Raw genomic sequence first — 23,663 nt, 5'->3', positions numbered from 1 at the left:
CTACACTCTGCTCACCCAAAAACTCAGGCTGCACAGCTGCAGTCACCTGGAGGGAGAGACACTCTACCAAAATATGCCCTTCGTTCTTTGAGCTTTCAGGGGTATATCTGCCCAGGAGGCTCACCTTTTCCTAACTCACACAAAGGTGGCATGAGGATGTTTCAGCTCTGGGTTTGTGCGTGACCCCAGGGCTCAAGCAGCCCAGCAGGGTATCTGGTGCACAGGGAGAGGACGTGACAGAGGGAAAGGAGAGAGCCGTGCACTGGGCTTCTTCAGGGTGGGGCTCTGGCCGGCCACTCTGGGGACACTGAGGCATGAATATGCACACTCCCATGGCAACCCGAGGTGATTGGCAGCTCTGTGGGCACTGAGAAGTATTCAGCTGCAGGACACAACTGGGTGGAGTGGGGGCTGCTGGAGCTTCAGTTGATTTACAGACTCATGTAGGATGCTGCCTGGAACGTTCAGACCTGGATAGGTGACATCCTCCAAGAGTAGGCACAAGAACTAGTGGCATCAGTGAGAATGCAGCTACACGTGCACCCTCAGGCTGTGGGCACTCCAGAGACCCCCAGCCAGGCTGACACAGATGTCAGGTGGGTTACATGCTGCGCGAGAGCCTCTGGGTGATCAGAGACTGCAAGCCAGCCTGTGCTCTGCTGGCCAAGCTGTGCTCCCCATCAGGAGGCTGTGTCTACCCAAGGAAGGGACATCTTTTTCTAAACCCACAAAGGCACTTTCTGGGCAGAAGGGCTCTGCTCAAGTGCACATGGGTGCAGAGGAGAAGGAGGCCCAGGGCTGACCCAGACTCTTCGAAACCCTGGTTCCAATATATTGCTCATCAAGCCACTTCTGGTTGACTTTTTAAAAAAAATCCTGTGCTTGTTGTTTTCAGTCTTTATTGTAAGCTGATAAGTAGCTTATCAGCTCCTGTGTGCTGGGTTAGAGGGAGTTGGTTTCTATGGGCAGTCACATTTGCATGAGGGAACGGAGTGAGGGCCTGACCAGTGGCCTCCTGAACACCAGCTGCTGGTCCATCTTGCATCTGTCCACCCAGGGCTTTCGATGAACACCATGGAGAAGCCTCTCCTCCTCTCGCCCCTCCTCCTTCCACCTTGCCCCAGCACCTGCTTCTCTCCCAACCAACTTCCATCCTGACTCCAGGCTCTGAGGAAAGAGCTGCAAGGAAAGGCGAGGCACCTGCAGCAGGTATTGGCCTCCTGGCCTGCTGGGGAGAAGGAAGAGGTGGGTAGAGAGAGGGAGGCAGCGAGGAAGCCATCAGGAAGGCAGGAGGACCAGCTAGGAGCAGGCTCACCCACGCTACGAGGCAAGGAATATTCCCCAACAAGGGAGCAGTTGGTGGGCCGCTGGGTATTGTCCCAGGTTCCCCTGCTACCCTGTGACAAAACCCGAAGGCCGCTTATCTCAGCCGTATCCTGGCTGGATGTCGCTGTGTCTCAGCTGATGTGAGATTCAGATGCTCTGAGACAGCCTGGTCATGCAGGATTCTGGAGGTTGCCAGTCCACTGGAGAAGATACGCCATAATGGCTCCACTTGGAATCTGGAGTCAGATGGGCCTGGGGCTGAGTCCTGGCTCTACCTGATGACCGCTGAGTGACCAGAGCTGATTACTTAATTTCTTTGTGCATTAGGATAACCATCTGTGAAATACGGATAACGCTAATACATACTACACAGTGCTGCTGTGAGGGTTTAAAAAGAACAGTTATTCAGGGAAAGAAATGAGATAAATGGGAGTTAGCTGATGGGGCCAGGAGTAGAAGAGCAGGAGCAGGGGCGAAAGAGGCTGAGATGAGGGTGGGGCGCCAAGCCTCCACAGCTGCCCAGGAGGTGCACTGGGATTCAGAGCCAGCAGGGGCTCTCCCAGAGGGTGCGCAGGCCCAAGGTGGTAGGAAAAGTGAGAGGAGGGAGCTCAGCGGAGTTAAACAGACACACATGAGGCCAGGCGCAGTGGCTCATGCCTGTAATCCCAGCACTTTGGGAGGCCAAGGCGGGCGAATCACCTGAGGTCAGGAGTTCGAGACCAGCCTGGCCAACATGGTGAAACCCCATCTCTACTAAAAATACAAAAATTAGCCAAGCGTGGTGGTGGGCACCTGTAATCCCAGCTACTTTGGGAGGCTGAAGCAGGAGAATCGCTTGAACCCAGGAGGCAGAGGTTGCAGTGAGCCGAGATCATGCCACCGCACTCCAGCCTGGGCGACAAGAGCGAGACTCCGTCTCAAAAAATAAAAACATAAATAAATAAATAAATAAATAAACAAACACATGGGCACTTGCCTTTGAAAGTCTTGGCCAGGCACGGTGGCTCACGCCTGTAATCTCAGCACTTTGGGAGGCTGAGGCAGGCAGATCACCTGAGGTTGGGAGTTCGAGACCAGCCTGACCAACAGGGAGAAACCCATGTCTACTAAAAATACAAAATTAACTGAGCGTGGTGGCGCATGCCTGTAATCCCAGCTACTTGGGAGGCTGAGGCAGGAGAATCGCTTGAACCCGGGAGGCAGAGGTTGCGGTGAGCAGAGATCGCGCCATTGCCCTCCAGCCTGGGCAACAAGAGTAAAACTCTATCTCAAAAATAAATAAATAAATAAAAAACCAGTCTTAGTGACCCCATCAAGGCCCAGGCCTCACACCCTGTTCCACCCTCGCCATCCCCACCTCAGCTTCACGGTCACCTGGAGCCATCCTCCCACCCCCAATTAGCCCCCTGGCCAGGCTCTGACTCAAATCTCCAGCAGGTCCCAAAGGGAGCTCAAAATAAGAGCACTGGGCTGGGAGTCCAGCACCAGGTCCTCACTCCACTCTCCACCTCCTATCCCTGTGACCAGGCAAAGTATGGGACTCTCTGACTTTCAGTACCATTATCCATTATGGACTTGTAACATTTTATAACTTTTGTTTAGCTCACACCTGGTTCCAAAAGGATTTGAGGCTGCTGGGAGGAATAATCACACTCTTGACCAACTCAAAAGGCTGTTGCAAAAACCAAATGTGGAAAATTATAAAGCACAAAGCAAGCATGGTATTATTGCTATTTTCTCCAAAAAGGAATTAGCCCACCCTTCTCTGTCCCCGCAGTGGAGTTTCTGACCTAGCTCCATAGTTGTTCAAGTCCCCTGTCGTTGAACTCTGCCTTATAAACAGCATTTAATCTCCATAGCAAACCAATACACGTGGACCCCGATATCCTCATTTGATAGATCAGAGAACTAAAGCTCAGAGTTCCTAGAAATTTTCAGGATCTTATGGCTAATAAGTGACAGCTGTGCCGTGGGATAGAGCCCGGGGATCACAAACCCAGTACCTCTCTGGCAGTGTATGGACTGGGATGGGTATAAGGTAACCGGGAGGGGTCAGGCTAATAGCCGCCTCAGAGCATTCACATTCTCGATCTCATATCAGGCTGTGCCAGCCAATCACAATCCTGTGGCCACCTCTGCCACCTCTGTCTTAACTACTGGTCTTAGCAGCCTCCCCACAAAAGCTCCTCTCCACCCACACTGCCACCAGCCAGGTCCTTGTCAATCACACCCGGGATGTGGCAGGAGCCTCCTCCATGACCCTTCTGCCTCTAGACTCACCCGCACTGATCCTTCTGCTCATCAGAGCCTGACCCTGTCCCTTCCCTGAGCACCCCACCCCTAGAGGGACCCCCTCAACCAGACACGTACCCCAGGGACCATGATAGAGTAGGAGGAACAAAGACTTTGCAGCCTGACAGTTCTGGGGTCAAATCCCAGCTCTGGCACTCATTAGCTGAGTCATCCTGGATAAGTTACATAACCTCCCGAACCTCATTCTCCCTGTTGACGCGAGGGAATATGGTGATAGATATCATGCAGAGTTCTAGGAGCTGGAAGTACATTCACACTTACAAAGAGTTCAGCCCAATGCCAGGTGCTCATAGGTATTTTACCCCACCATGGCAAATGCGTAGTAGACACACCAGCATACCCCAGCAGTAGCTTGGGACCCTGGTGGGAATGGATTGGTAGCCACTCCCCTTTGCATATCTCCTCCAGGCCTGGGAAGTCAGGGAGGAGGGCTGACTTGCCCAGCTAATAAACAGAACACTCAGGTTTAAACCCAGGTCAGTCTCTCATCTGCAAAGGGGAGACAGAAATTCCAGCTGTGCATATCTGTTGCACAGATTCAGAGAAGATGCCAGTGGCAGCAGTAGCTGCTCCAAATCTGCCCAGACTATTTAGGGAGGCAGGAGAGTTGAAGGTGACGGCAAGACCAAAATCTGAGCCAACCCCCCTGGCCCAGAGTGGGACTGCGGGGCTGAGCCATTTTAAGTAAGTCCTTTATAGACCCTGCATCTGATTCTTGGAGGCCCCACACTCACTTGCATTTAAAATGCACCCACACCCCCTCATTAAATATAACTGCTTTGCTTTAAAGGGGTTTTTATAAATTTGCTTTTGAAATTACTTGACTATGAGTAACTCATTTAATTTACTATTGGCTATGCTTTCTCTTTAATCATATTGCATATTCTGGAACTCTTGTCAAAAATCCAACTTACAAATTGTTTTCAAATATAATGGCATGTGACTTAACAAATATTGAAGTTGACATGCTACTTTCTGAAGGCATTTCATTAAACATTTGTCAATTTCAACTTTTTTTTTTTTCCATATTTTGCAGCCCTCAGAGGTTTTCTTTCAGCTCTCCCATGTTGCCAGGGGGTGGGGGTGACATTGAGGGTCTGCCGGGAGAAGACAGGTATGCGCACAAAAGCAAGGCACTTAGATCGCCCCCATTTCTAGACTTGCAGGCTGCCTGCTTCAGGCCCAGCTGCGGAAACCACCCACCCCAGGTTGCCCAGGGCATCCTAATTTGGGCAGTTTCACTCTCATTTTGAAAATATAGTGATTTCTCAAACATTGGATTAAACCTGAGTTAAGGCTTAAGCCTTTATTGGAATTTCATATGAATACATTCATAAGTGAGGCAATACTTTGATAGGGTAAATGTTCTGATGTAGGGTTTAGAAATCAGGATTATTGTCACCCTAACCAAACACCCTTACCCATCCTCTACCGCAGCCTGGGGGCCCAGATAGCTCCCCACTTGCTCCCCTCCACTCCCCCAGGAGTGGACACGGAGAGGGGACCCCGTGCAGGGCATGTGAGATGTGGCCTGGCACACAGCCCTCATACTTCCCAGTCTGAGAGCTTTAGGGACAGATGAGGGACAGTCCCCCAGGGTCGACTTCACTCAGGACAGGTCCCAAACCTTGGAAGGAGACAGGTTGGGTTGCCTATTTTATTTACTCCCTCTGCCACCCACCCTCCTTCCCCCTCACCCCCCCATTCCATGTGAGATCTGGCCCCTGACCAGGAAGAAGATGCGGGCACCTTCACACACGCAGGCACACACAGCAGGTCGAGAGGAAGGGCAGGGGGTGGGGCTCCAAAAGAGGAGAGGAGGTGGCGGGCTGGCATGGAAGGTGCAGGCAAGGTCGAGGGCAAGGAAATGACTTTTTATTTCTGCTCACATACTTTGATTCATTTCTATCAAGAACAGTAAAAAAAATTCTACCTTGGACCTGGTGATTTCACTCAGGGCATCTAGACTAAGGGAATAATCTGGAGAGATTTAGGCAAAGATAATAATAGCTAAGATTTACTGAGTTCTTGCTTGGTGCTTTATATCCAGTGGCTGAATGAATTCAAAATCAACCCGTGAGAAAAGTGCTATTATTATCCCCATGAAATGGGTGAGGACCTGGAGGCACAGCGAGGGGAAGTAACTTGCCTAAGGTCACACAGCCTGAAAGTGGTGGAAACAGAAGTCAAACCCAGAGTGCACACTGTTGGTCACATTAGGACACAGTCATTCTTAACAGAGGAGAGCTGTAATCATAAACCATGGGAGGCTCACCGGGGGTGGTGCACAGTAGTTCACATTCATATTTGCAGAGTATTTTGATGACATGTGGAAAGACGTATGTTAAAATACTTTTTAAAATAGGCCGGGGTCAGGCACGGTGGCTCACACCTGTAATCCCAGCACTTTGGGAGGCTGACGTGGATCACCTGAGGTCAGGAGTTCGAGACCAGCCTGACCAACATGGTGAAACCCCATCTCTACTAAAAATACAAAAAATTAGCCAGGTGTGGTGTCACGCAACTGTAATTCCAGCTACTTGGGAAGCTGAGGCAGAAGAATCACTTGAACCCAGGAGGCAAAAGTTACAGTGAGCCAAGATTGCACCACTGCACTCCAGCCTGGGCGACAGAGTGAGACTCCATCTCAAAAATAATAATAATAATAAAAAATTTTAAAAAGCCTAAATCATTCTTGTGATCTCAACTTAAAAATAGCATTTTAAAAAGAACTGAAAAGAATACAGAAATATGCACAGATATGCATTAAAATATCTACATATATCTCAGGCATGCAGCAAATATTTGGTGAAACTGGTAGATTATGAGTGGGCTTTTATTTCTTCCTATTTTTCTATATTTTCCAAATTTTTTTTAATGAAAATGATTTTCTTTTCAAATAGGAAGAAGTATTAAGGCCTTTTAAGATTATTTTCTCTTGATAAATATTTGAAAGAGAAATTTCTGAGAAACTAAGAAACCAGAGGCAAGTTGTTTAAAAAATAAATTGTGGGTTGGGTGCGGTGGCTCACGCCTGTAATCCCAGCACTTTGAACCCAGGAGTTCAGGATCAGCCTGCACAGCATGGTGAAACCCCGTCTACAGGTGGCACGTGCCTGTAGTCCCAGCTACTCATGAGGCTGGGGTGGGAGGATCACTTGAGCCCAGGAGGTCACTGCAGCCTGGACAATAGAGCAAGACCTCGTTTCAAAAATAAACCGTGAAGAGGCTGCTAAGGAACTTTAAATTAGTAATATTCTTAGAGCTAAGCCTCAACACACACTAAGAAAAACAGGAGACAAGAAAGTGAACTGAAGGATTCTATTAAATGACAAATTCAACAAGTAAATATGGAGTCCTAAGTGCTGGCAGACAGGACAGGCAGTTCTTGCCTCCAAAAGACCTTCTAGAAAAATCTTTTAATCCTGCTTCCTTGTTAAAACAAAGACAAGACACAGCTCACTTGTGTTATTAAATTATTCACCTACTTGAAAAGTGAGTTCCCCTCACCCTTCTAAGGGGGATCCTTGGGCAGCCGAGGCCCAGCATGGGTGAAGGAGCCCTGGACTCACCACCTCCCACCCTCATCGGGCTCCAACGTTCAATTCTGTGACATGTAAGTGGCCAGGATGAATTGGCAAGGGGTGTCTTCTGAACTGAAGGGCCTTGGGTCTTGACCAGGAGAGGGCTTGGCCAATGGGAAGTGGAGAGGGATGAGGAGAGCTTCTTCCCGGGGCACCCACTGGGAGACCCAGGGCCAGGTGCAGACCTGCTTGCTGAAAGAGGCTGGGGTGGGGGAGAGCAGCTGACAAGAAAGGAGGAGGAAGCCAGCAGCCTCCCAGCCTCCCCCTCCTGCTCCAGCTGCTCTGGCTCTGGGCAGGCCCTCAATTAAACAGGCTCATGCTGTTCCAGGGCTAATTGCTTCTGAGGCAGCCAGCCAGGGGAGGACAGGCCTCCCCAGCCAGCAGCAGGGGCAGCGACAGGCTTCTCTCTGCCCACCCAGGACCCTGCACAGCCCAGGGCACATTCCACTTTCCTTCTTTACCTGGGGAACAGACTTCAGCAACCTCTGTGCCAGGGAGGTGCTCCAGAAATTGTGTATTAAACATGGGACAGAGGCTGAGATGGGATTGGGGCGGGGGCGGGGGGCTGGAATCGGAATGCACAGGCTTGTTCCAACCTCTTGCAATAGAATCTGCCCGAGAGTTTGCAGATGTCTGTGCCACACCTTCTGCCTATTGAATCAGAATCTCTGAGAGTATGGCCTGGAGAGGGCCATCTAAACAAGACCCCCCCAGAAGACCCTGGTCTCAGGTTTGTCTGTAGGTGCATATTTCCCATCTACCAGGCCATCCCCTCAGAGGCTGGAAGAGGGGAGGAAGTACAAGGTGGGAAACAGACACCAGCCCCCAAGCTGGTGTGACAGGGATGTGTCACAGACCCGGGGCTAGGTGTTCCCCTCACAGGGAACAGGCTGGATGAGGGTTGGATGGGCATCTCCTCTCTCCCACAGCTTCTTTTGTCAGTTTCCACATGCACAACATACACATCACCCAAGCCTAGTCCCTCCCCTCAGAATGCACGGTGCCTCCATCCACAGCCACCTCCCACCACGGCGTTCCCTCTCCCAACAGAAACCCCACCTGCCTCATTACTTAAATAATCTTTATTTCTCATGCACTAGGAAAGATGGTTCGTATGAAACACTGCAGTTCACAGCAAAGGCCTCAGTCCAGAACACAACATAGGGGCCAGCTGGGATCACAATCTGGTCAAAGCTCTGGGAGCCACACTGGGAACACCACTCCCGGGGTTGAGTGGCAGATCCAGGACTTTGCAGCAACTGTGGCCCCAGACATAACACAAGGCAGCTGCCCTCTCCCACAGAGGCACAGGAAGCTGACACCCAAGGAGCACGTGGGCTGGGGACAGGACGGAGAAGGCTGCTGGGCAGTGACTTGGCGGAGATGTGGTCCAGCACCTCTGCCGCCTGCGTCTACCCACTCAGGCCAGGAAGCCCAGGCCTGTGACTGAGCTCTAGGCCCAGCTCTACCCAGTGCAGAGCTGCTGGAGTTCCACAGACCCTCAGCAGCCCCGTGCCCACAGCAGAGGTGTAGAGGTCCCCCGCCTGCCCCTCGGCTACATGAACAAGACAGGGGCCTAAACTTCGGCCCTGGCCAAGGCTTAGATTTGCCCAGGAAGGACCGGAAAGGCTAGAGGGGCCAGCCCCCCACAACCATCCCAAGCCCCTGTGGACACTGGAGAAGCCCATAGGACAGTCAGGCTTCTGAGGATCCCAGGACAGGGCCACCAGCAGGGGAGGCCCTCAATACCTGGGCCATCAGGCTCAATACCTGAGCCCAAACAACAATGAGCAGATTCCCAGGCTTTGCTTTCACTGGGTGGCCCAGGGACAGTGACATGGTAGGAGACATGCAAGACAGAGACAGAGAAGAATGGAGACATGCAGAGACCACACAGCATGGGCGGGGTCTGAGGACAAAACGTGGTAAAAGTGCTGCGATGTGGTGGGCACTTCATGGACCAGGCTCATTGAGGCCCTGGGCTCATGGTGATACCCGCCTCCTCTGGAATGGTCTCCAGCATCTCACTCTGGACTGCCTGCGTGATGAGCGCCAGCTCCTGGCACAGGGTCTCGTAGCGGTAGCCCACGCGGATGTCTGGCACATTGGTCCGGCGGATGTCATTCCCCTCAGGGCCTTCCTTGGTATAGTTGGGTCCCAGCCAGTGGCTCTTTACCTGCAAGGAGCGGGGGTAATGGGCAGGGCTGCAGCCAGTGCTGAGGGGTCATGCCCCACCCCAAGCCATCCCAGGGACAGGTCAGGACCCCAAATGCAGAGGAGGGGAGGAGTGATGCCATGCCAAGGTCCAGGCAGGCGCTGTAGTACCTTGTGCGAGAAGCCGCTCATGAGCACGCTGTTGCGGGCCAGCTCACACATATCGCAGGAGCTGAGCTTCCACACCTGGGTGGCGATGCTGTACTCCTCCATCAGCGGCTCCTGCACGGGCCAGGTTCCCTCAGACGAGTGCGCCCTGGCCAGCTGCCCCTGCCTCCCTTCCCCAGCCTCCTCACTCACTCTCCCCACCCCCGCCCCCCCATCCCCCCAACCCCCCAACCCCTCAACTCCATAAGACTTGTCAATTGGCCAGCTATGCTCTACCAGCAGGGGGCAGCACCAACCCGAGAGACCGCCCCCCCCACCGCCCCCCACCCAACCCGGGAGACCCCAGCGTCCTGGGACGCCCGCCCGCCTGGCTGCCTGCTGGGCTCTGACCTTGGTGAAGTGGAACTGCAAGGGATCATCAGTGGACAGGGAGACCATGAGGCCGCGGGACAGGTACTCCGGTAGCGGATTCCGGTGATAGCTGAGGAAGAGGCTGTTGTTGCTGAGCGGAGACATGGCGATGCCGATCTGGGCCAGGTAGTACAGGTACTGCAGGACGGGGGCCTGGGCAGGCAACAGGGAGGGAGGGCCTGTCAGGTGGCCCCGAGGCTGGGCAGGGCACAGTGGTTCTGGGGGTCCAGGCCACAGCAGAGGGCAGGGGGAGGGGAATCCAGGCTTGGCCTGATGTGCAAAGGGTGAATTAGTCAAAATCCAAGTTGGGGCCCCAGGCTGAAGGCTGGGGTGGGGAAGGGTAGTTACATTGGGAAGGCAGAATCCAATCTGAGGGCTGGGTGGGAGGAGGATCGGTTGCTGAAGGGGCCCGAATGGTTCAGAGGAAGGTGAACAATTGGGAGGGAAGGCTAGGGGTGCAGATCCTGACCTTGCGCAGAAGGAGCCCGTGGGAAATGTTCTCAGCCAGCATGAAGGCTGACACCAGGTGGTGGATGGGCCCAGCCTCCCCACAGTGTGGCCTCAGCACAAACGTGTGGAAGCCCCTCTGCCTGGGGGACATGAAGACAGTGTCAGCTCCTGAGCCTGGGATCACCTGGGCTCACCGGAGCCCCTGACCCCCACCCAGCACGCATATGTCCTCCAGCCAATAACTATGCAGGCCTGGGATAAGGGGGACAGGGGTAGATTACTGGCTGTGAGGGGTGACAGATGTAGCTCCAAGGGCAGAGAAAGAACCCATCCAGTCCAGGCAACAGGTGGGTCAGAGGTCTAGTGGCCCTGGCCCAAGGTGCCAAGAGTGAGGTTTGTTGGGCGAGAGATGGCATAGCAAGCAGACACAGGGTGGTGCAGGCACCTGCGCAGGTGGTTCAACATGGCCATGTTGGCAAAGGTGTAGTACAGGTAGTAGGCATAGGGTGGGTTGTCCTCCTCCACCCACGCCTCAGGCAGGGGGCTCTCCAGGTTGAAGACATGGTTTTCAGGCTTGGACTCATCATCCACGCTGTCAAAACCATCCACCTAATACAGAACCCTGGGGTCAGAACCAGAGCTGCAGCTGGATGCGAAGCCGGCTGCCCTCCCCATACCCAGCTCTGCGCTGCCTGCTCACGTGCTCTAAGAAGAGATGCAGTTCCGGGTGGCTGGCAGGGTGCACAGTGGCCTCGAACAGTGGCAGGAAGATGTTCTCCAGCATCTCCTGGAAGTTGGCCAGCTGGCCCTTGGTACGGTACACATCACTGCAGGTGAGACAACATGCAGGTATGTGCAAGTCAGGGCCAGTGGGAGGAAACCCAGCGGTCCAGCAAGGGTCAGAGCTTGGCCCAAGAGCGCAGGGGCGCATCTGAACCATATTGGGAAAGCAAGGATACCCAGGTGGGCCAGGCTGGACAGACCATGGATGGGACCAGGAAGCCCTTCCTTGCACTCAGAGGGGTTGGCAGGGACAAGGGAGGCTCAGCCATCCTAGGAGGGCAGGAGGCAGGCCCTGACCCCTTGAATATGACCCCGCAGGTTCCCCTCCCACTCCAGGGACACTCACAAGAGGCGGGGCACCTGCACCAGCCAGCGCACGTTGGGGGAGTGCACGCGGTGCATGACGGCCCAGCGCGCCAGCTTGTCCCACTCATCCCTCGAGCGCCCGTAAATGGAGAGCCGCAGCTCTGCATTCTGGTATTTGCTCTCCTCCAGGTCTGACATCACCTCCTAGACATGAGGTGAGCTGAGTCAGACATGAGGTGAGCTGAGTCAGAGCTCTTCAGGGGGTCATCTGCCTACCCTCCTTGAGTCTCACCCCCTAAAAGCCCCCAGATCCTCAGGCTCGAGGCTTGGCAGGGAAGGCTGCCTCCTTACCTTGATGATGTGAGCAAAGTACTTCCCAGATACCCTGTTGTCCGTCTTGATGAAGATCTCTCGGAGGACGGACTCCCCAATAGGGTTGTATTTGGCATTAAACTTGTCAAAGCGATGGAAAGTGTTCCTGTCCTGGGGGACATGGGAAGGCTCAGGTCACCCGTGACTCCTGGTCCCCTGACTGACTCAGTCCCACAGCCCACGCCACTGGCACAGACCGCATGCACATCCAGCGTGTCCACACTCAGGTCGTAGGCCGTGAGATTCATGCTCTCAAAGACCTCCCGCAGCGTCTGTTCACGGCCCTGCTCCACGTGCACGATCTCCTCCAGGTGCCGCTTCATTGCCCGCTTGATGAAGCGCAGCAGATGCTTCTGGTTCATGCAGGACGAGGCATGGATGTGGGTGTCCACCTGGAATGGAACAGGGCACTGCTGATCCACCAGAGGCCAGGAAGGTCTGGGGCCTGGGGCAGTGCAATGGGAAAGGACCCTCTGTACTGGATGCTGTGTGGGGGGCCTGGCCCTTGAAGGGGAGGCTGGGCAGAGGTGTGGGATGAGGACATGGAGACGGCCACGGGGTGAGGGCCCACCTTGCGGATGTTGTAGAAATCTCGGTGTGGCACTTTCTTCTGGGCGGCCAGCTCCTTCATCTCATTGAGTAGCACATGCATCTGGAACTTGGAGCTCAGGTACTGCAGCCGGCGGTAGCAGAATGACTTTCTGGGCATGAGGAGAACAAGGCAGGGACTTAGGCCCTGAAGGGAGGCACCTGGGGAGGGCTTGGGTAGCAGATCAGAGGGAGCAGGTGGGAGGGTAAGGATGGAGGCTGCCAAGAGGGAAGTAGACTGCGGGGAAGTCGAGGGCTCAGCAACTAGGAAGGGCAAGACACCAGGTGATGGGAGTCTGGGGCAGAACTGGGGCTGGAGAATCTGGGCTGGGAGGGGAGCTAAGTGTCTGGGATGGCAGGGGACTCACATGGGGCCATTGATAATCAGGGCCATCAGCACATTGACGTCAGCCACAAATTCCTGCAGGTCAGGGTATGGCAGCTCCACCTCTGAGCAACTGGCATGGAGGGGAGCTTGGGTGAGGAGAGCAAGCCGAGCCCTGTGGCCTCTCCCAAGCCAACGCAACCTCCCACGCTGCATCCCCCCAACATGCACCACACCCCTCTTACTGCTCGTCGGGTTCCCTGCGGGTGTAGACGTGCACCACACCCCGCACCATGCGCAGACCCAAGCCCAGGTCCCCAGGCATGGTGCTTGGCTCACAGTGCTCATACGGGTGCTGCTCCAGCGCAGGGGGGTGCACCGGGGCATCTGCAGGGGTGAGGAGGGTAAAGTCAGAGCAGGGCTCTTCCAAGCCACCCACTGCCCAACCCAAAGGCCCCACAGAGGGCAAGAGATGTTGAAGACCCAGTAGGTCAGACAGCTCCTGCCCAACCTCCACCCCTGTACCCCAAGAGGTTGGAATGAGCCTGGGTTGTAGGGAGAGGCAGGCAGGGCAGAGGTGCCCAGGCACCAGGCTGAGAAGCCCAGGAGGCTAGGGCACATGGCATGGGGCAGAGATGGGGAGTCCCACCAGCAGACACAGGGGTGTCGGGGCCCTGTTCATAGGTCCGGGTCTCCAGAGGCTTTTCAGCCAGCTGCTGCAGGTAGCGGCGGGTGGTGGGGCAGAAGCTCTGCAGGGACAGGGCCATGTACTTCTCCCGGATGAAGAGCGCCCGCACCACACTCTTGGCTGCATCCAGCAGGTCTGTGAACGGCACCTGGAGATGAGGATATGCGATCACTCTCCTCAGTCTTGGACTCAGAGACCTCCTCCCTAAGGCCTTATCTTAGAACCCAAACTATCCCCACCTCCCACAGGCCCTGACCCCCAGGAACACTCAGATCACCCTGGTCCAGCACATCAAGTGGCTCCTAGGCAGCCCCTCTGCCCCTCCGCCCCTCCAGCTGCTGGAAAGAGAAACGCCCTTTCCAGCCCCCACCCCCAGCTCTCCAGGCTGGGGGAACCCACTAAGACATAGGTGATGGCGACTCACCCAACATACACCCCATACTTACCCCACACTTCTCCTCCCCAGAGATGGTGACCCGCTGAAACTCCCGTTCCAGCACATCACGCTCCCGCAGGCTCCGGTCACCCTGCCCCTCACCCTGTTCCTTGTAGAGCCTGCAGGGGGTGCATTCAAGGGAGGGGTTTAGAGCCGGCAGAAGGGCAGGCTGCAGCTCCGCATCCCCTGTGCCCCTCTGCCCTCCTCACTGTAGGTCCGAGTCACTGTCCGTCTTCAGGAAATCTTGCTTGGCCCGAAGCAGGATGTCTGGCTCCAGCCTAGAGGCAAGAGGGGTGAGAAGTCAGGCAGATCCCGAGGGACGGCCCTTGCTCCCAGGTCCCAGCACCGCACTAGGTGCTGTGCACATGTTGTCACATGTGATCCTCAAAGGCAGAGCTGCAGAACCCTGTGCTGTTCTCACTCACTTTAGAGATGAGAAAGCAGACCCATAAGTTAAGCAACATGACCCAGCCACACCGGCGGCTAGAAGACAGAACAGAACCCAGCAGCCCGACTCCAAAGCCCACTCTATGCTCCCTGTGCAGACCCCCCAAGGCAGGGTGCGAGGGAAAGAGGCAGAAAAGGGGCTCTGAAAGGGTCTGGAAGGGTATGGAGGGAGACTAAGCAGCTGCCTGCCGGGCTCACTTGACATCCTGGCTGATCTGCCGCTCCAGCCGCTGCCGCCGCTCCTCCAGCTGTTCAATGGGGCTCTCCTCGGGGAACTCATACGGGGCACTACGGAGCTCGCTCTCAGCCAGTGAGCGGGTGAACAGCTCCTGGGGGGAGGGAAGGAAGGTCAGCATGGCTGGCCCTCCGCCCTCGGGCACTCTCCTACAGAGTCTGGGGATGGGGTGAGGGCAGCAGGACCAGGGGTACCTGGGAGAGGCTGAGGATCAGGAGACAGCCAAGCGTGAGGTGAGGGGACAGCTTGAGGTGAGGGGTGTGGGGAGCAGAGGCAGGGCATGGAGACACGGGGTGAGGGTGCGGGTGGTGCCAGGTGATACCTCGGCGATCTCCTTGCATTTGCCATCCATAGACGTGCGCAGGTCGAGCGGGAAGTGCTTGAGGCAGGGGGCGGGGCCCGGCAGGGATCGGGCAGACTGCAGCGGAGGGGCCCCCAGACCACCCCGAGCCTCTGCAGAGACAGTGATGCCAGGGTCAAAGGGTGGAGGGGCAGCCCCTGAAAGCCCTGGGCCCCTGCCCTGCCTAGGCCAGCTCCCGAGAGAGCCCAGGGTCGGGAAAGAGGGCAGTCCCTCCTCAGTAGCTGAGGAGTAGGCCTGTGTGTGTGGCTCCCAAAGGGCTCACCCTCACCTCTAACGCAGGGACCCCTCACCCATTCCAGGCTTGGGGTGGGGATTCTGAGTCTGCCCCTAGAACAAGTAGATTCATTACCTCCACAAATGAGACTAGAGCCTGATCCCTCAGGCCATGAGAATCTCCACGTGACTACCTCCCAGAGGCAGGTGCACGTGTGTACGTGTGCACACACATGCACGTACGCACACAGACACCCTCAGAGACACACACCAGGTGCTTGGTAAGGACCAGGCGGCCACACCAGGGACCCCCAGCCTGCAGCTCCCAGGGCAGGCAACCCAGGATCAGACCCGCCCCTGGACTAGCAGATTCTCCACTCAAAGGGGCAGGGCCCTGTGCCTGACATCCTAGACCTGTGCAGCACAAGAGAAGCCGCAGCTGCTGCTCAGCTCTGACCTAGGGACGAGCCCTCAAGGGAAGAGGAGAGGAAGTGGAGGGCCTGGTTGGCAAGGGAACCCTACCTCCTCCCTGGAGGCCCGCCCTGTCCCCCAGGGCCCCAGGGCTGCCAAAATGTGGCCTGGCCTTAGCCTGCCCCTCCAAAAGGAGCTGCCACAAACAGTCTATGCCACTCAGGCCCCAGGATCTGGACCGGGGGCACCACAGAGGGCCCTGGGGAAGGGAGTGTCAGAAGCCAGGGGTCTTTCTTCATCAAGACTAGACTTTCCATCTGTACCACGAGGAGGCTGGCACCAGAGGGCCGTGAAGCTGCTGGTCTATGGGGGCTGCCAAGGCTTCCAGCCTACCCCGAAGGACCCTCCCTGGGCTCAGCAGCCCCAGCTCCTCAGTGAGAAGCTTTCCACACCCAAACTGCCTCTCTCAGCCGGCTGTAAGGAGTGCTCCCCTCCAGCACCCTCCACCCTGGCTTAGGGAAGGATTACAGGATCTGCCTAGGTAGCCGGCCTTAAAGTCTCTGCGCCCATTTCCCAATACTCCAGGACTGGTCCCAAAGCTGGACAAAGGGAAGAGGGAGGGGCCTGCCCCAGATCCAGGACCCCGTCCCCTGCGCACCCCGGCCCCTGCCTGAACCCTACCTGCAGAGTGCAGGCAGCTCCGGCCAGCAGCCCTGTGCCCCTTGCCCGCCTGTTTGCCAGTGAAGCTGCAGCCGGTCCCTCAGGGGCTGGCACAGGCTGTACCAAGTGCAGCTGCAAGCAGGGGAGACCCTGAGATGGCCGTGAGCACGGAGCTAGGGGAGTTCAAGGGAGCCCAGAAACCAAGGGAAGGAGCATCAGAGTTGGGAGATAAGACGAACTCCAGAACTGAAGAGGGCCTCCACCTCTACAGTGCCAGGGAAGACCCAGCCAGATGTGAGGCTCCTAAGGGGGAGTAGCAGGGTAGGCTGACTTGGGCAGGGCAGGCCGACAGGGAGGAGCCAAGCCTCCTTAAAATCCACTGCCCTAGGGGACAGTGAGTGGGCAGGGCCTGGCTGGCCAAAGAGTAAGAGGGGAGAAAAAGGAGGGGAACAGCGCTCTTCATCACACCCACAGCCCCAGGTTGGCCTCTTCTGGCAGTGGCCTTGTTGCTCACCACTGTCCTCTGGGCCCTGATTATGGCATCCCTCAGGAGAGACAGGGCCTTTGCTGGGGTAGGAGCTGGCTGGCAGCTGGGGAAATGGCCCAGTCTAGGTAGGGGCCAGTCACTGAGGCTTCCCCGCTGCCCAGCTGCTCAGGGGGCTGGTTCGCAGGCCCCTAGACCTGCAACCCCTGATCCAAGCCTATCATCAGGGACAGGACAAACTGTCCAGAATAAGTTTGGGAGAAAGGGGGCTAGAATTTGGAGAACATGGATCTGATTCTGTTCCTGCTTCCGGGCATGTCTCTACCTACCTCTGGGAGGCTTTGGGTCCTCATCTACAAGTGGGGCGATAAGTGGTCCCTTCCCTGCCTAGCCACAACTGCCATAAGGCTCACAGAGATAATGGCTCTGCAAGTGTTCTGCAAAACACCAGGCTCTGTGTTGAGGCAAGGCCTGCAATTATGAACTCCTGGGACCCTCAAAATACATTCTACCTGTAGCCCCGCCCACTGAGGACAGTGGGAGGTTCCCTGGGCCCAGTGCAGGGCAAAGGCAATAGGCCAGTAAAGGGCAGTGAAGTGAACTTGGCAGGAGTGGAGATGGGGTGACTCTATCTCTTACTTGGAAAAGGACAAAGTGGGAAGAGGAAGAAAAGAGGGGAAGCTGTCTCACCCCCAGAGTGTAAGATCTTTTCTTGCCCGAGAACCCTGATTTTACACACCTCCTCCCTACATATGGCCCCAGACCACTTCTGACTCCTTCTAGGGGAGGCCGACCACAGACCTCCATGGCTGGTTCATATTGGGTCAGCAGGAGTTGAGTCAAAGGCTCAAATCTCAACCCCCTCTCCTAGCAGGGGGGTCTCAGGCTCCACAGCAATCCTGGGGTGAGCAGGACAGATTCCAACAGCCAGTGCCATCCCCCCAGCCTGCCAGACCACTCTCCAGGGCTGCCGCAGGCTCACTGAAGGTGGCACACGGGCAGTAACCGCTACGTTCTCAGAGGCCAGGCCTAGAAGACTCAGCTGCCTACTGGTCCTTTCTCTAGGGGTCAGCACCACACACATACACCCACACTTACGGAGAAGTCAAGCAAAAGCCAGAGTGGGCTGCTCCAGAGCCACTCCCACCAACTCTGAGATTCTGAGCACCCCATCTCCCCTCTCGACCAGGAGCCCCTCACACACTGCCACGACTGCCTCAGTAGGCACAGGGGTGTCCACGGCTTTGACCCCACAAGTATCAGATGCTCTTACCATCTGACCACCGAAGGGTCTCCAGCTCTGGGCTAGATCCGTATCAGTTGCCCTATTGCTGAACCAAACAGGGCCAGGAAGGGCCCCACCCAGGGGACACCCTTTCTGGATGGCACAGACCTGGGCACAGAGAACACCCTCAGGACAGTAGAGACCTTGCACCAGTCATCTTCAATGAAACAAAAAAATATAGGAGGTTGATACTTGGGCTATAGCTACAGACAGCTGCAAGGGTGGGGGCAGTCGGCATGATCTGGTCATCAAAGTCAGGGTGGGTCTTTCCTTAGCCACAAGGCCTGGGAGCAGACAGCAGGCAGATATCCCTCTGCAAGCACAGAGCCAGGCAGCCAAGCCCTCACTGAGACAGGCACTGCCGCACCTCACTGCCTGCTCCAAATGATGCAGAGATGCTTACTAGAGTGAGAGACGAACCAAAGGGTGCAGAAGCACACACAGTGCGGGCAGCAGCCCCAGCCTGAACCCTGCACGGACCTGACCAAGGACACCCCATACTCCTAAGGAGGCTCACAATATAGACCAGGAATGAGCAAATAGCAAACGATAGATACAGTCAAGCCCCCAGTTGTGGGATGCCAGCCAGCAATGGTTGTGCCCAGATGTCAGACCCCCAGTGAGGGGGATCTAGATGTGGGGTCCTAAAAAGTGGAACTAGCCACAGAACAGCCTAAGCCTGCCTGGTAAAGGCACAGGCGCCAGTCAGAGTGGCCAGTCCACAAAACAGTCAGTCCCACACACCCCCGCTCCATTCACACATGCTTCACACGCAGTCTTAGCACATGCACACGCTGACACGTGTGCATACACACCTCTTGCTGCACCCACACCATGCCCACTCCTTGTGACAGAGGACAGCATCCCTGGCACAGATATCTCAGATCCACCCCCCGCCCCCCACCACCCCTCACCCCACCTTCCAAGCCGGCTGTCCCTGGGACTGAGGTTGAGGGGCACCACCACAGAGAGGATGCCGGAGGAGGTGGCCCCCTCTGAGGGGACCAGCACCTTGGGCGAGAGGTGGCAAGACAGAGCCCAGCATCTATCCTGAGGCCAGGAAGCACACACTCACCTGGAGCTGCAGTGGAGGCCTGCAGGCTGGCCCGCTTCTTAAAGGGATATTTGGCCTTGGGCTTGCCAGAGCCAGATGGATAGGATGCCATGGCTGGGACCACGGCGGCGACAGCGGGGGAGTCTGAGCGGCACCGGCTGGGGCCTGGCTCTGCCACATCCAACCCCTTCCTCCGCCCCGCCCCCAGCGGGAGTGACTGATGCAGGAAGCAGCGGCTCCGCAGGCGGAAGAGGCCCTGGCCACGATTTCTCATGTTGTCTAGGCAACCTCGGGGAGTGGGGCCTCCATCTCTGCCCCTTATCCCTCCCCTGCCTCCTCAGTCCCAGGAGTGACGTGACTGATGGTGGCTGGGCCTGGCGGGGGGCGGGGAGGGGGTGGGTAGAAAAGAAGATGGGGAAGGGCCAGCCCCCAGCTCTCCACTAACCCACCAAGAGCCCTCACCCCATCATGCCAGGGCTCCCGGGCAAAGAAGCCAAAGTCCAGGCTAGCTGGTCCTTCCAGCTAGCCTGGAAGAAAAAAGAATAACAAACAGGAATTCAGCAGCGAGCGAGTCCAAGCTCAAACACAGTCCTCCCGGGGCAGGGCAGGCATACTCCGTGAAAACCCAGCACCCACTTTCCTTCCACATCTGACCCTCAGCTCCCGGGGTAGCCCAGCTCTGGGAGGAGGGGGAAGAACCGAGAATCCCAGCCCAGGAGGGAGGGGCCTGTCCCGGGAAAATTCCACCGTCGCCAAATAGCTACCTCCCAGGAAGGCAGGAAGGCCAGGAGACCCCCTTGTCTGGGGGTCTGGGACAGAGACCCTAGCCTCTTTGGATTTTTCCTCTGTCTCTGCACACTCTGGCTCTGCTCCCCAGGCCCTCCTGGGAGGAGCTGACCGCCTTCCCTAGGTCCTGCTGCTGTGCTGTGACTCCCACCCTCTTGTCACTCTGGCCACAGCACTTCTCTGTCCCAGAGACCCTCCCTCCAACACACGTACACACACTCACCTGAGGCCATGATGCCCGAGTTCCGAGGGGAGGCTGCCCACGAGAAGTCTGTACAGCAGAAAGCCCGGGTCCTGAGGGACGGCAGGGGGATCGGGCCACAGACCCCAGCCAAGTCACTCCAAGGGCCCCTGCCCTGGCACTGAGATGGGGAAAGTAAGGCAGTCTTTCAAAATTGCCAGCTGGCCGGAGGTGGACTCCCGCAGACCTCGGCAGCCGGACTGGCCTCAAGGCGACCCCGGTGTCGCGACCACCCAACCCTGCAATCGAGAGGCTGGTAGGCCACGTGCTCCCAAGGGAGCGGGACCCGAAACTCGTCCAGATTTCTCTCAACACTCCCTGGGCATTCAGGGTCGGACTCCCGCGGCCGGACTGTGGGGGAGTCACGCAACAGGTGAGACCCCACCAAAATCTCGCCGGCTCCGCGCCAGGCTCTGCGGCCCTTGGCCCCGCCCCCGCCTGGCCCCGCCTCCGCCTGCCGACCCCGCCTCGCCATTTTTTTCTCTTCCTGGGCGCCACGTGGGCAGCCACCACACCGCGGTAGGGCTGGCCTGAGCCGACCCTGGGTCTTGGGCCAGTTCCGTGCGTCAGCTTCCTCATCAGTAAGATGGGGTAATGACAGTACCTCACTCAAAGGGGTTACTGTGAAGATTAAACGTAAAGTCCCTTTACACAGTGCCTGGCACGAAGTGAGGGCCCAGTGAAAGGTAGCTGTTATCATTGTCCCAGGATTCATTTTAAGCAGAAGTCCTGCCCCTGCAATCTCACTTGGTCGTCTGTTTTCTTCCGGCCGGCGTAGGTAGGAGGCTGTGCCCTGCAATTCTGGCTCCCCTTCCCACATTTCTGTATTTGGTGGTTAAGAGCTTTAACTCTAGCCAGAATGTCTGGGTTCAAATCCAGATTTCACCTACTTCCTGACTGATACTGGGCAAGTTACCTAACTTCTCTGTGCTTCTATTTCGTCTGTAAAATGAGTGTAAGAGTACCTGCTTTATATGGTGGTTAAGATAAATGAGTTAATATAAGTTAACTGCTTAGAACTGTGCCTGGCCTGTAGTTAGTACTCAGTATTCATGTATTACCATTGCTTTAGCCTTGGCCTTGGTTCTCTATTGACACTCACAGGTTGATTCACTTGCAGCCGTTCTGGGGTCTATCCAACAAGCATCCCCACTGCCAAGGGGTAGATAATCCGACCTAAAGGGAACTTGTGGAGGGAAGTCCCTAAGACTTCACTGAATATAATTAAATGCATTAGCAGGAATTAATCTCTTCCCTATTTTCCCTCTTGTGGGAGGCCTTTGCCCCCCACACCCAGTTGTTCTAATGCTGTTTGTCTGGCTCCTCCCAGTTCTTACCACTCCCACAGCAGAGATCCTTCCCAAACTCTGCCTCCCTCTTCTCTCCCCACGCTGGATTCTGGACCCTGAACCCTTTTCTCCACCTGCATCTGGTGCCACTTCCATTGATCCCTGGCTACTGTTCCCTGAACAAACTTAAAAAAAACTTGGCCTCTTCACCTCACACAGAATCCATAAAACTAAAAAGAGAACAGAGATAACCAGGTTTACCTAATCAAAATAGCAAAGACTAAAAAACAAAAAACCAAAAAATAAACGCTAATGCAGGTTGGCAAGGGTATAGTTAGTGAGATGGGAGACACACACACACGTACATGTGCACAAACACATTACTGGTGGCCTTGAACACTGATATAATCTTTCTGAAAGCCATCTGGTAATATAGAATCAAAATTTTCAAAAAGGTTCTTATTATTTGACCCAGTAATCAACTTTCTGGAAGTTGTTTTTCTAAAAAGAGCTGCCAGAAAAATATGTATGCAAAAAGTTGTTCAGCACCACAATGTGTATTGCATAGAAAAGTTAGATACTTTAAAGGTCGAACAATAGGGGAATGTTTATGTAATATTCATACCATGAAATACAGCCATTAAAAATTGTTCTTGGAGAAATGTTTAATGATGTGGAAATGTTTACAATATAAAGTTAGGTAAAAGAATGGATGCAAAACACTATACACAGTATGGTCCTACTTATGTGATATACATGGGTAGAAAAGAAACACACCAACAAGTTTACCAATGATTATCTGTAGTGATGGAATTATGGGTTATATTTATTTTCTTTATATTTATTTGCATTTTAGAAATTATAATACATACCCATAACTTTTATAATCAAGGGGATAGAAATCAACAAAAATCTGTAAAAATCTGTAATTGCCTCCACAGTCCCCCCAACCCAGCCTTCCCGGGGTCTTAACCCCAGACTTAAACTATTCTGTTTACATTTATGGCCCACTGAATTGGTCTTGGGGCGCTTAGGGATTTTGAGGCTGATGGACTCTCAAGAATGAATAAAATGAATCTCAAAAATCAAGCACCATGTAACTACATAAATGTCATGTATCTTCTGATAAGATGCAAATGTTGACATAGTTTTAAAGATAGTATCTTGCATTGGGCCAGGTCTCTTGAGCATCCTGCTTAATGCAGACCTACCTACCTCAGCAGCCAATAGGTGGCAATCCTTGCCCTCCACCCAGCCCAGGCAAACCAGTTCATTAGTCCCTTTATGCTAGTCCCCTAGTCCCATCTGCAACACACCCTTCACTCTACAACCCTCCCCTATTTCCAGGTCATCTGGTGTATTGTTGCTGCTAGGAAGTCGGCCCTGATTATAGTTAGGCATCAATCCCTCCACCCACTCCATACCAGCAAGAATCTCAGTGAGGTTTCATTGTCTACGCAGAACAGAGCTTGGGAAATAAAGGAGTGAGTCATCCTATGGCCTGGGCTTTTTTCACACTGAGGCCTTAACATTCATTGCCTTTGAGCCTCTGAGATATTCCCTAGCTCCAAACACAGCTTCCTCCCCTCCTAGCCTGTTCCCCACATGGCTCCTTAACTGGCCCTCCCGGAATCCCAGCTCCCTAAAGATGGTGCACTCCTGTTTCTCTGAAGAAGTGCTTTTCTTTGCTTCTGGACTTCAGCTCACTTGTGATGTCCGCCTCCCTAGCTAGGCCAGAACAATCTTCACAGATACTAAACTTGGGAGAGAATATCTGCAGCTCCAAAAAGGTCCTTGGCCAAGGCAATTTCCCAAACCATACCTTATGCCTAGGCCCTTCTAGAAACAAGCTGTTCAGCTCTGGTTTCTCAGCTTCTCCCAGCAGCCAGCTCCCTCTCCCCCTCACCTCAGTCACCCAGCATTGTGTTTATAGCACCATACAGCTGTTTCCATCTATACTTGTTTATAAGACCCCAGTGGATTTTAGTCAAACCCCTTGCCATTGAAGGCGCTTCACTGGCTGGCTCCAATTTCCCTTTCTTGTCTTCATCTTCACCTCCCAACCCTCCACTCCATGCACCTTTCACTCCAGTCCAGTCACATCAAAGTCCCAGTCTTCTCTGAGCACACCTTGTACTTTGTGCCTCTACCTCTTTTTTCATGCTCTTTCCTTTCCCCAAAATGCGTATCTCCCACTTCCACTGTTATTCTGCTTCTCTGTGGAAAGTCTATTCATTTCACAATCACCCTTTTCTTTCTTCCGCTGTAGAACTTTGTCAGTCTGACAGTCAGA

General features: G+C 54.8%; 2 protein-coding genes across 7 annotated transcripts in view, besides 16 other annotated features; one reads left to right on the top strand and one right to left on the bottom strand.

The window, feature by feature from the left end:
• Positions 8,287 to 20,505, bottom strand: AMPD2 (adenosine monophosphate deaminase 2). Of its 5 annotated transcripts, NM_001368809.2 has the most exons (19): positions 20,064 to 20,505; positions 19,076 to 19,428; positions 14,909 to 15,039; positions 14,550 to 14,680; positions 14,114 to 14,182; positions 13,915 to 14,023; positions 13,430 to 13,616; positions 13,026 to 13,167; positions 12,824 to 12,913; positions 12,439 to 12,568; positions 12,065 to 12,259; positions 11,847 to 11,978; positions 11,536 to 11,699; positions 11,107 to 11,233; positions 10,852 to 11,015; positions 10,426 to 10,546; positions 9,936 to 10,109; positions 9,549 to 9,659; positions 8,291 to 9,399 (listed from the first exon to the last, which is right to left on the bottom strand). In NM_001368809.2, the coding sequence occupies exons 2-19, from the start codon at positions 19,164 to 19,166 to the stop codon at positions 9,190 to 9,192; spliced, it is 2,478 nt and encodes an 825-aa protein (NP_001355738.1). In that variant the 5' UTR covers positions 19,167 to 19,428; positions 20,064 to 20,505; the 3' UTR covers positions 8,291 to 9,189. The 5 variants fall into 5 exon arrangements, with proteins under 5 accessions (NP_001295099.1, NP_001355738.1, NP_631895.1 ...); NM_139156.4 differs by lacking the exon at positions 19,076 to 19,428; NM_004037.9 differs by lacking the exon at positions 20,064 to 20,505 and having other exon boundaries at positions 19,076 to 19,200.
• Positions 9,336 to 9,895: an enhancer, noted in NCBI's record as "H3K4me1 hESC enhancer chr1:110173069-110173628 (GRCh37/hg19 assembly coordinates)". NCBI's record gives its function as "activates a minimal SCP1, AML or CMV promoter by ChIP-STARR-seq in naive H9 embryonic stem cells {active_cell/tissue: H9 hESC(naive)}" and the evidence as "EXISTENCE:reporter gene assay evidence [ECO:0000049][PMID:30033119]".
• Positions 10,458 to 11,017: an enhancer, noted in NCBI's record as "H3K4me1 hESC enhancer chr1:110171947-110172506 (GRCh37/hg19 assembly coordinates)". NCBI's record gives its function as "activates a minimal SCP1, AML or CMV promoter by ChIP-STARR-seq in primed H9 embryonic stem cells {active_cell/tissue: H9 hESC(primed)}" and the evidence as "EXISTENCE:reporter gene assay evidence [ECO:0000049][PMID:30033119]".
• Positions 11,017 to 12,216: an enhancer, noted in NCBI's record as "BRD4-independent group 4 enhancer chr1:110170748-110171947 (GRCh37/hg19 assembly coordinates)". NCBI's record gives its function as "activates an origin of replication core promoter dependent on BRD2, P300/CBP, MED14 and CDK7 cofactors, and independent of BRD4, by STARR-seq in HCT116 cells {active_cell/tissue: HCT116}" and the evidence as "EXISTENCE:reporter gene assay evidence [ECO:0000049][PMID:35650434]".
• Positions 11,017 to 12,702: a biological region, named in NCBI's record as "BRD4-independent group 4 enhancer GRCh37_chr1:110170748-110171947".
• Positions 12,141 to 12,702: an enhancer, noted in NCBI's record as "H3K4me1 hESC enhancer chr1:110170262-110170823 (GRCh37/hg19 assembly coordinates)". NCBI's record gives its function as "activates a minimal SCP1, AML or CMV promoter by ChIP-STARR-seq in naive H9 embryonic stem cells {active_cell/tissue: H9 hESC(naive)}" and the evidence as "EXISTENCE:reporter gene assay evidence [ECO:0000049][PMID:30033119]".
• Positions 15,446 to 16,259: an enhancer, noted in NCBI's record as "H3K27ac-H3K4me1 hESC enhancer chr1:110166705-110167518 (GRCh37/hg19 assembly coordinates)". NCBI's record gives its function as "activates a minimal SCP1, AML or CMV promoter by ChIP-STARR-seq in naive H9 embryonic stem cells {active_cell/tissue: H9 hESC(naive)}" and the evidence as "EXISTENCE:reporter gene assay evidence [ECO:0000049][PMID:30033119]".
• Positions 17,630 to 18,159: an enhancer, noted in NCBI's record as "H3K27ac-H3K4me1 hESC enhancer chr1:110164805-110165334 (GRCh37/hg19 assembly coordinates)". NCBI's record gives its function as "activates a minimal SCP1, AML or CMV promoter by ChIP-STARR-seq in naive H9 embryonic stem cells {active_cell/tissue: H9 hESC(naive)}" and the evidence as "EXISTENCE:reporter gene assay evidence [ECO:0000049][PMID:30033119]".
• Positions 19,028 to 19,147: an enhancer, noted in NCBI's record as "active region_1448". NCBI's record gives its function as "activates an Ori minimal core promoter by ATAC-STARR-seq in GM12878 lymphoblastoid cells {active_cell/tissue: GM12878}" and the evidence as "EXISTENCE:reporter gene assay evidence [ECO:0000049][PMID:35858748]".
• Positions 19,220 to 19,748: an enhancer, noted in NCBI's record as "H3K27ac-H3K4me1 hESC enhancer chr1:110163216-110163744 (GRCh37/hg19 assembly coordinates)". NCBI's record gives its function as "activates a minimal SCP1, AML or CMV promoter by ChIP-STARR-seq in naive H9 embryonic stem cells {active_cell/tissue: H9 hESC(naive)}" and the evidence as "EXISTENCE:reporter gene assay evidence [ECO:0000049][PMID:30033119]".
• Positions 19,220 to 19,757: a biological region, named in NCBI's record as "H3K27ac-H3K4me1 hESC enhancer GRCh37_chr1:110163216-110163744".
• Positions 19,708 to 19,757: an enhancer, noted in NCBI's record as "active region_1447". NCBI's record gives its function as "activates an Ori minimal core promoter by ATAC-STARR-seq in GM12878 lymphoblastoid cells {active_cell/tissue: GM12878}" and the evidence as "EXISTENCE:reporter gene assay evidence [ECO:0000049][PMID:35858748]".
• Positions 20,279 to 20,807: an enhancer, noted in NCBI's record as "H3K27ac hESC enhancer chr1:110162157-110162685 (GRCh37/hg19 assembly coordinates)". NCBI's record gives its function as "activates a minimal SCP1, AML or CMV promoter by ChIP-STARR-seq in naive H9 embryonic stem cells {active_cell/tissue: H9 hESC(naive)}" and the evidence as "EXISTENCE:reporter gene assay evidence [ECO:0000049][PMID:30033119]".
• Positions 20,279 to 20,827: a biological region, named in NCBI's record as "H3K27ac hESC enhancer GRCh37_chr1:110162157-110162685".
• Positions 20,398 to 20,587: a silencer, noted in NCBI's record as "silent region_1156". NCBI's record gives its function as "represses an Ori minimal core promoter by ATAC-STARR-seq in GM12878 lymphoblastoid cells {active_cell/tissue: GM12878}" and the evidence as "EXISTENCE:reporter gene assay evidence [ECO:0000049][PMID:35858748]".
• Positions 20,726 to 23,663, top strand: part of GNAT2 (G protein subunit alpha transducin 2) — a 16,526-nt gene continuing 13,588 nt past the window's right edge. The window contains exon 1 of one of the 2 annotated variants that reach the window (NM_001379232.1): positions 20,726 to 20,767. The gene's annotated coding sequence lies outside the window, so the exon portion shown is untranslated. Of the gene's footprint in view, positions 20,860 to 23,663 lie in introns of both variants that reach the window. The other variant, NM_001377295.2, reaches the window with a different exon arrangement.
• Positions 20,778 to 20,827: an enhancer, noted in NCBI's record as "active region_1446". NCBI's record gives its function as "activates an Ori minimal core promoter by ATAC-STARR-seq in GM12878 lymphoblastoid cells {active_cell/tissue: GM12878}" and the evidence as "EXISTENCE:reporter gene assay evidence [ECO:0000049][PMID:35858748]".
• Positions 20,808 to 21,338: an enhancer, noted in NCBI's record as "H3K27ac hESC enhancer chr1:110161626-110162156 (GRCh37/hg19 assembly coordinates)". NCBI's record gives its function as "activates a minimal SCP1, AML or CMV promoter by ChIP-STARR-seq in naive H9 embryonic stem cells {active_cell/tissue: H9 hESC(naive)}" and the evidence as "EXISTENCE:reporter gene assay evidence [ECO:0000049][PMID:30033119]".

This window comes from Homo sapiens, chromosome 1, assembly GCF_000001405.40.
Source record: "Homo sapiens chromosome 1, GRCh38.p14 Primary Assembly".
Lineage (NCBI taxonomy): Eukaryota > Metazoa > Chordata > Mammalia > Primates > Hominidae > Homo > Homo sapiens.
The sequence above is the reverse complement of the archived record's forward strand: the minus strand, read 5'-3'. Positions and strand labels throughout refer to the sequence as shown.

Coding starts and splice junctions, on each gene's coding strand:
- AMPD2 (NM_001368809.2), bottom strand. CDS start 19,166: ATGGCATCCTATCCATCTGGCTCTGGCAAGCCCAAGGCCAAATATCCC. Junction 15,040..19,075: donor GGCCTCCACTGCAGCTCCAG/GTGAGTGTGTGC, acceptor CTGTCTCTGCAG/AGGCTCGGGGTGGTCTGGGG. Junction 13,168..13,429: donor CGACACCCCTGTGTCTGCTG/GTGGGACTCCCC, acceptor TCACCCCTGCAG/ATGCCCCGGTGCACCCCCCT.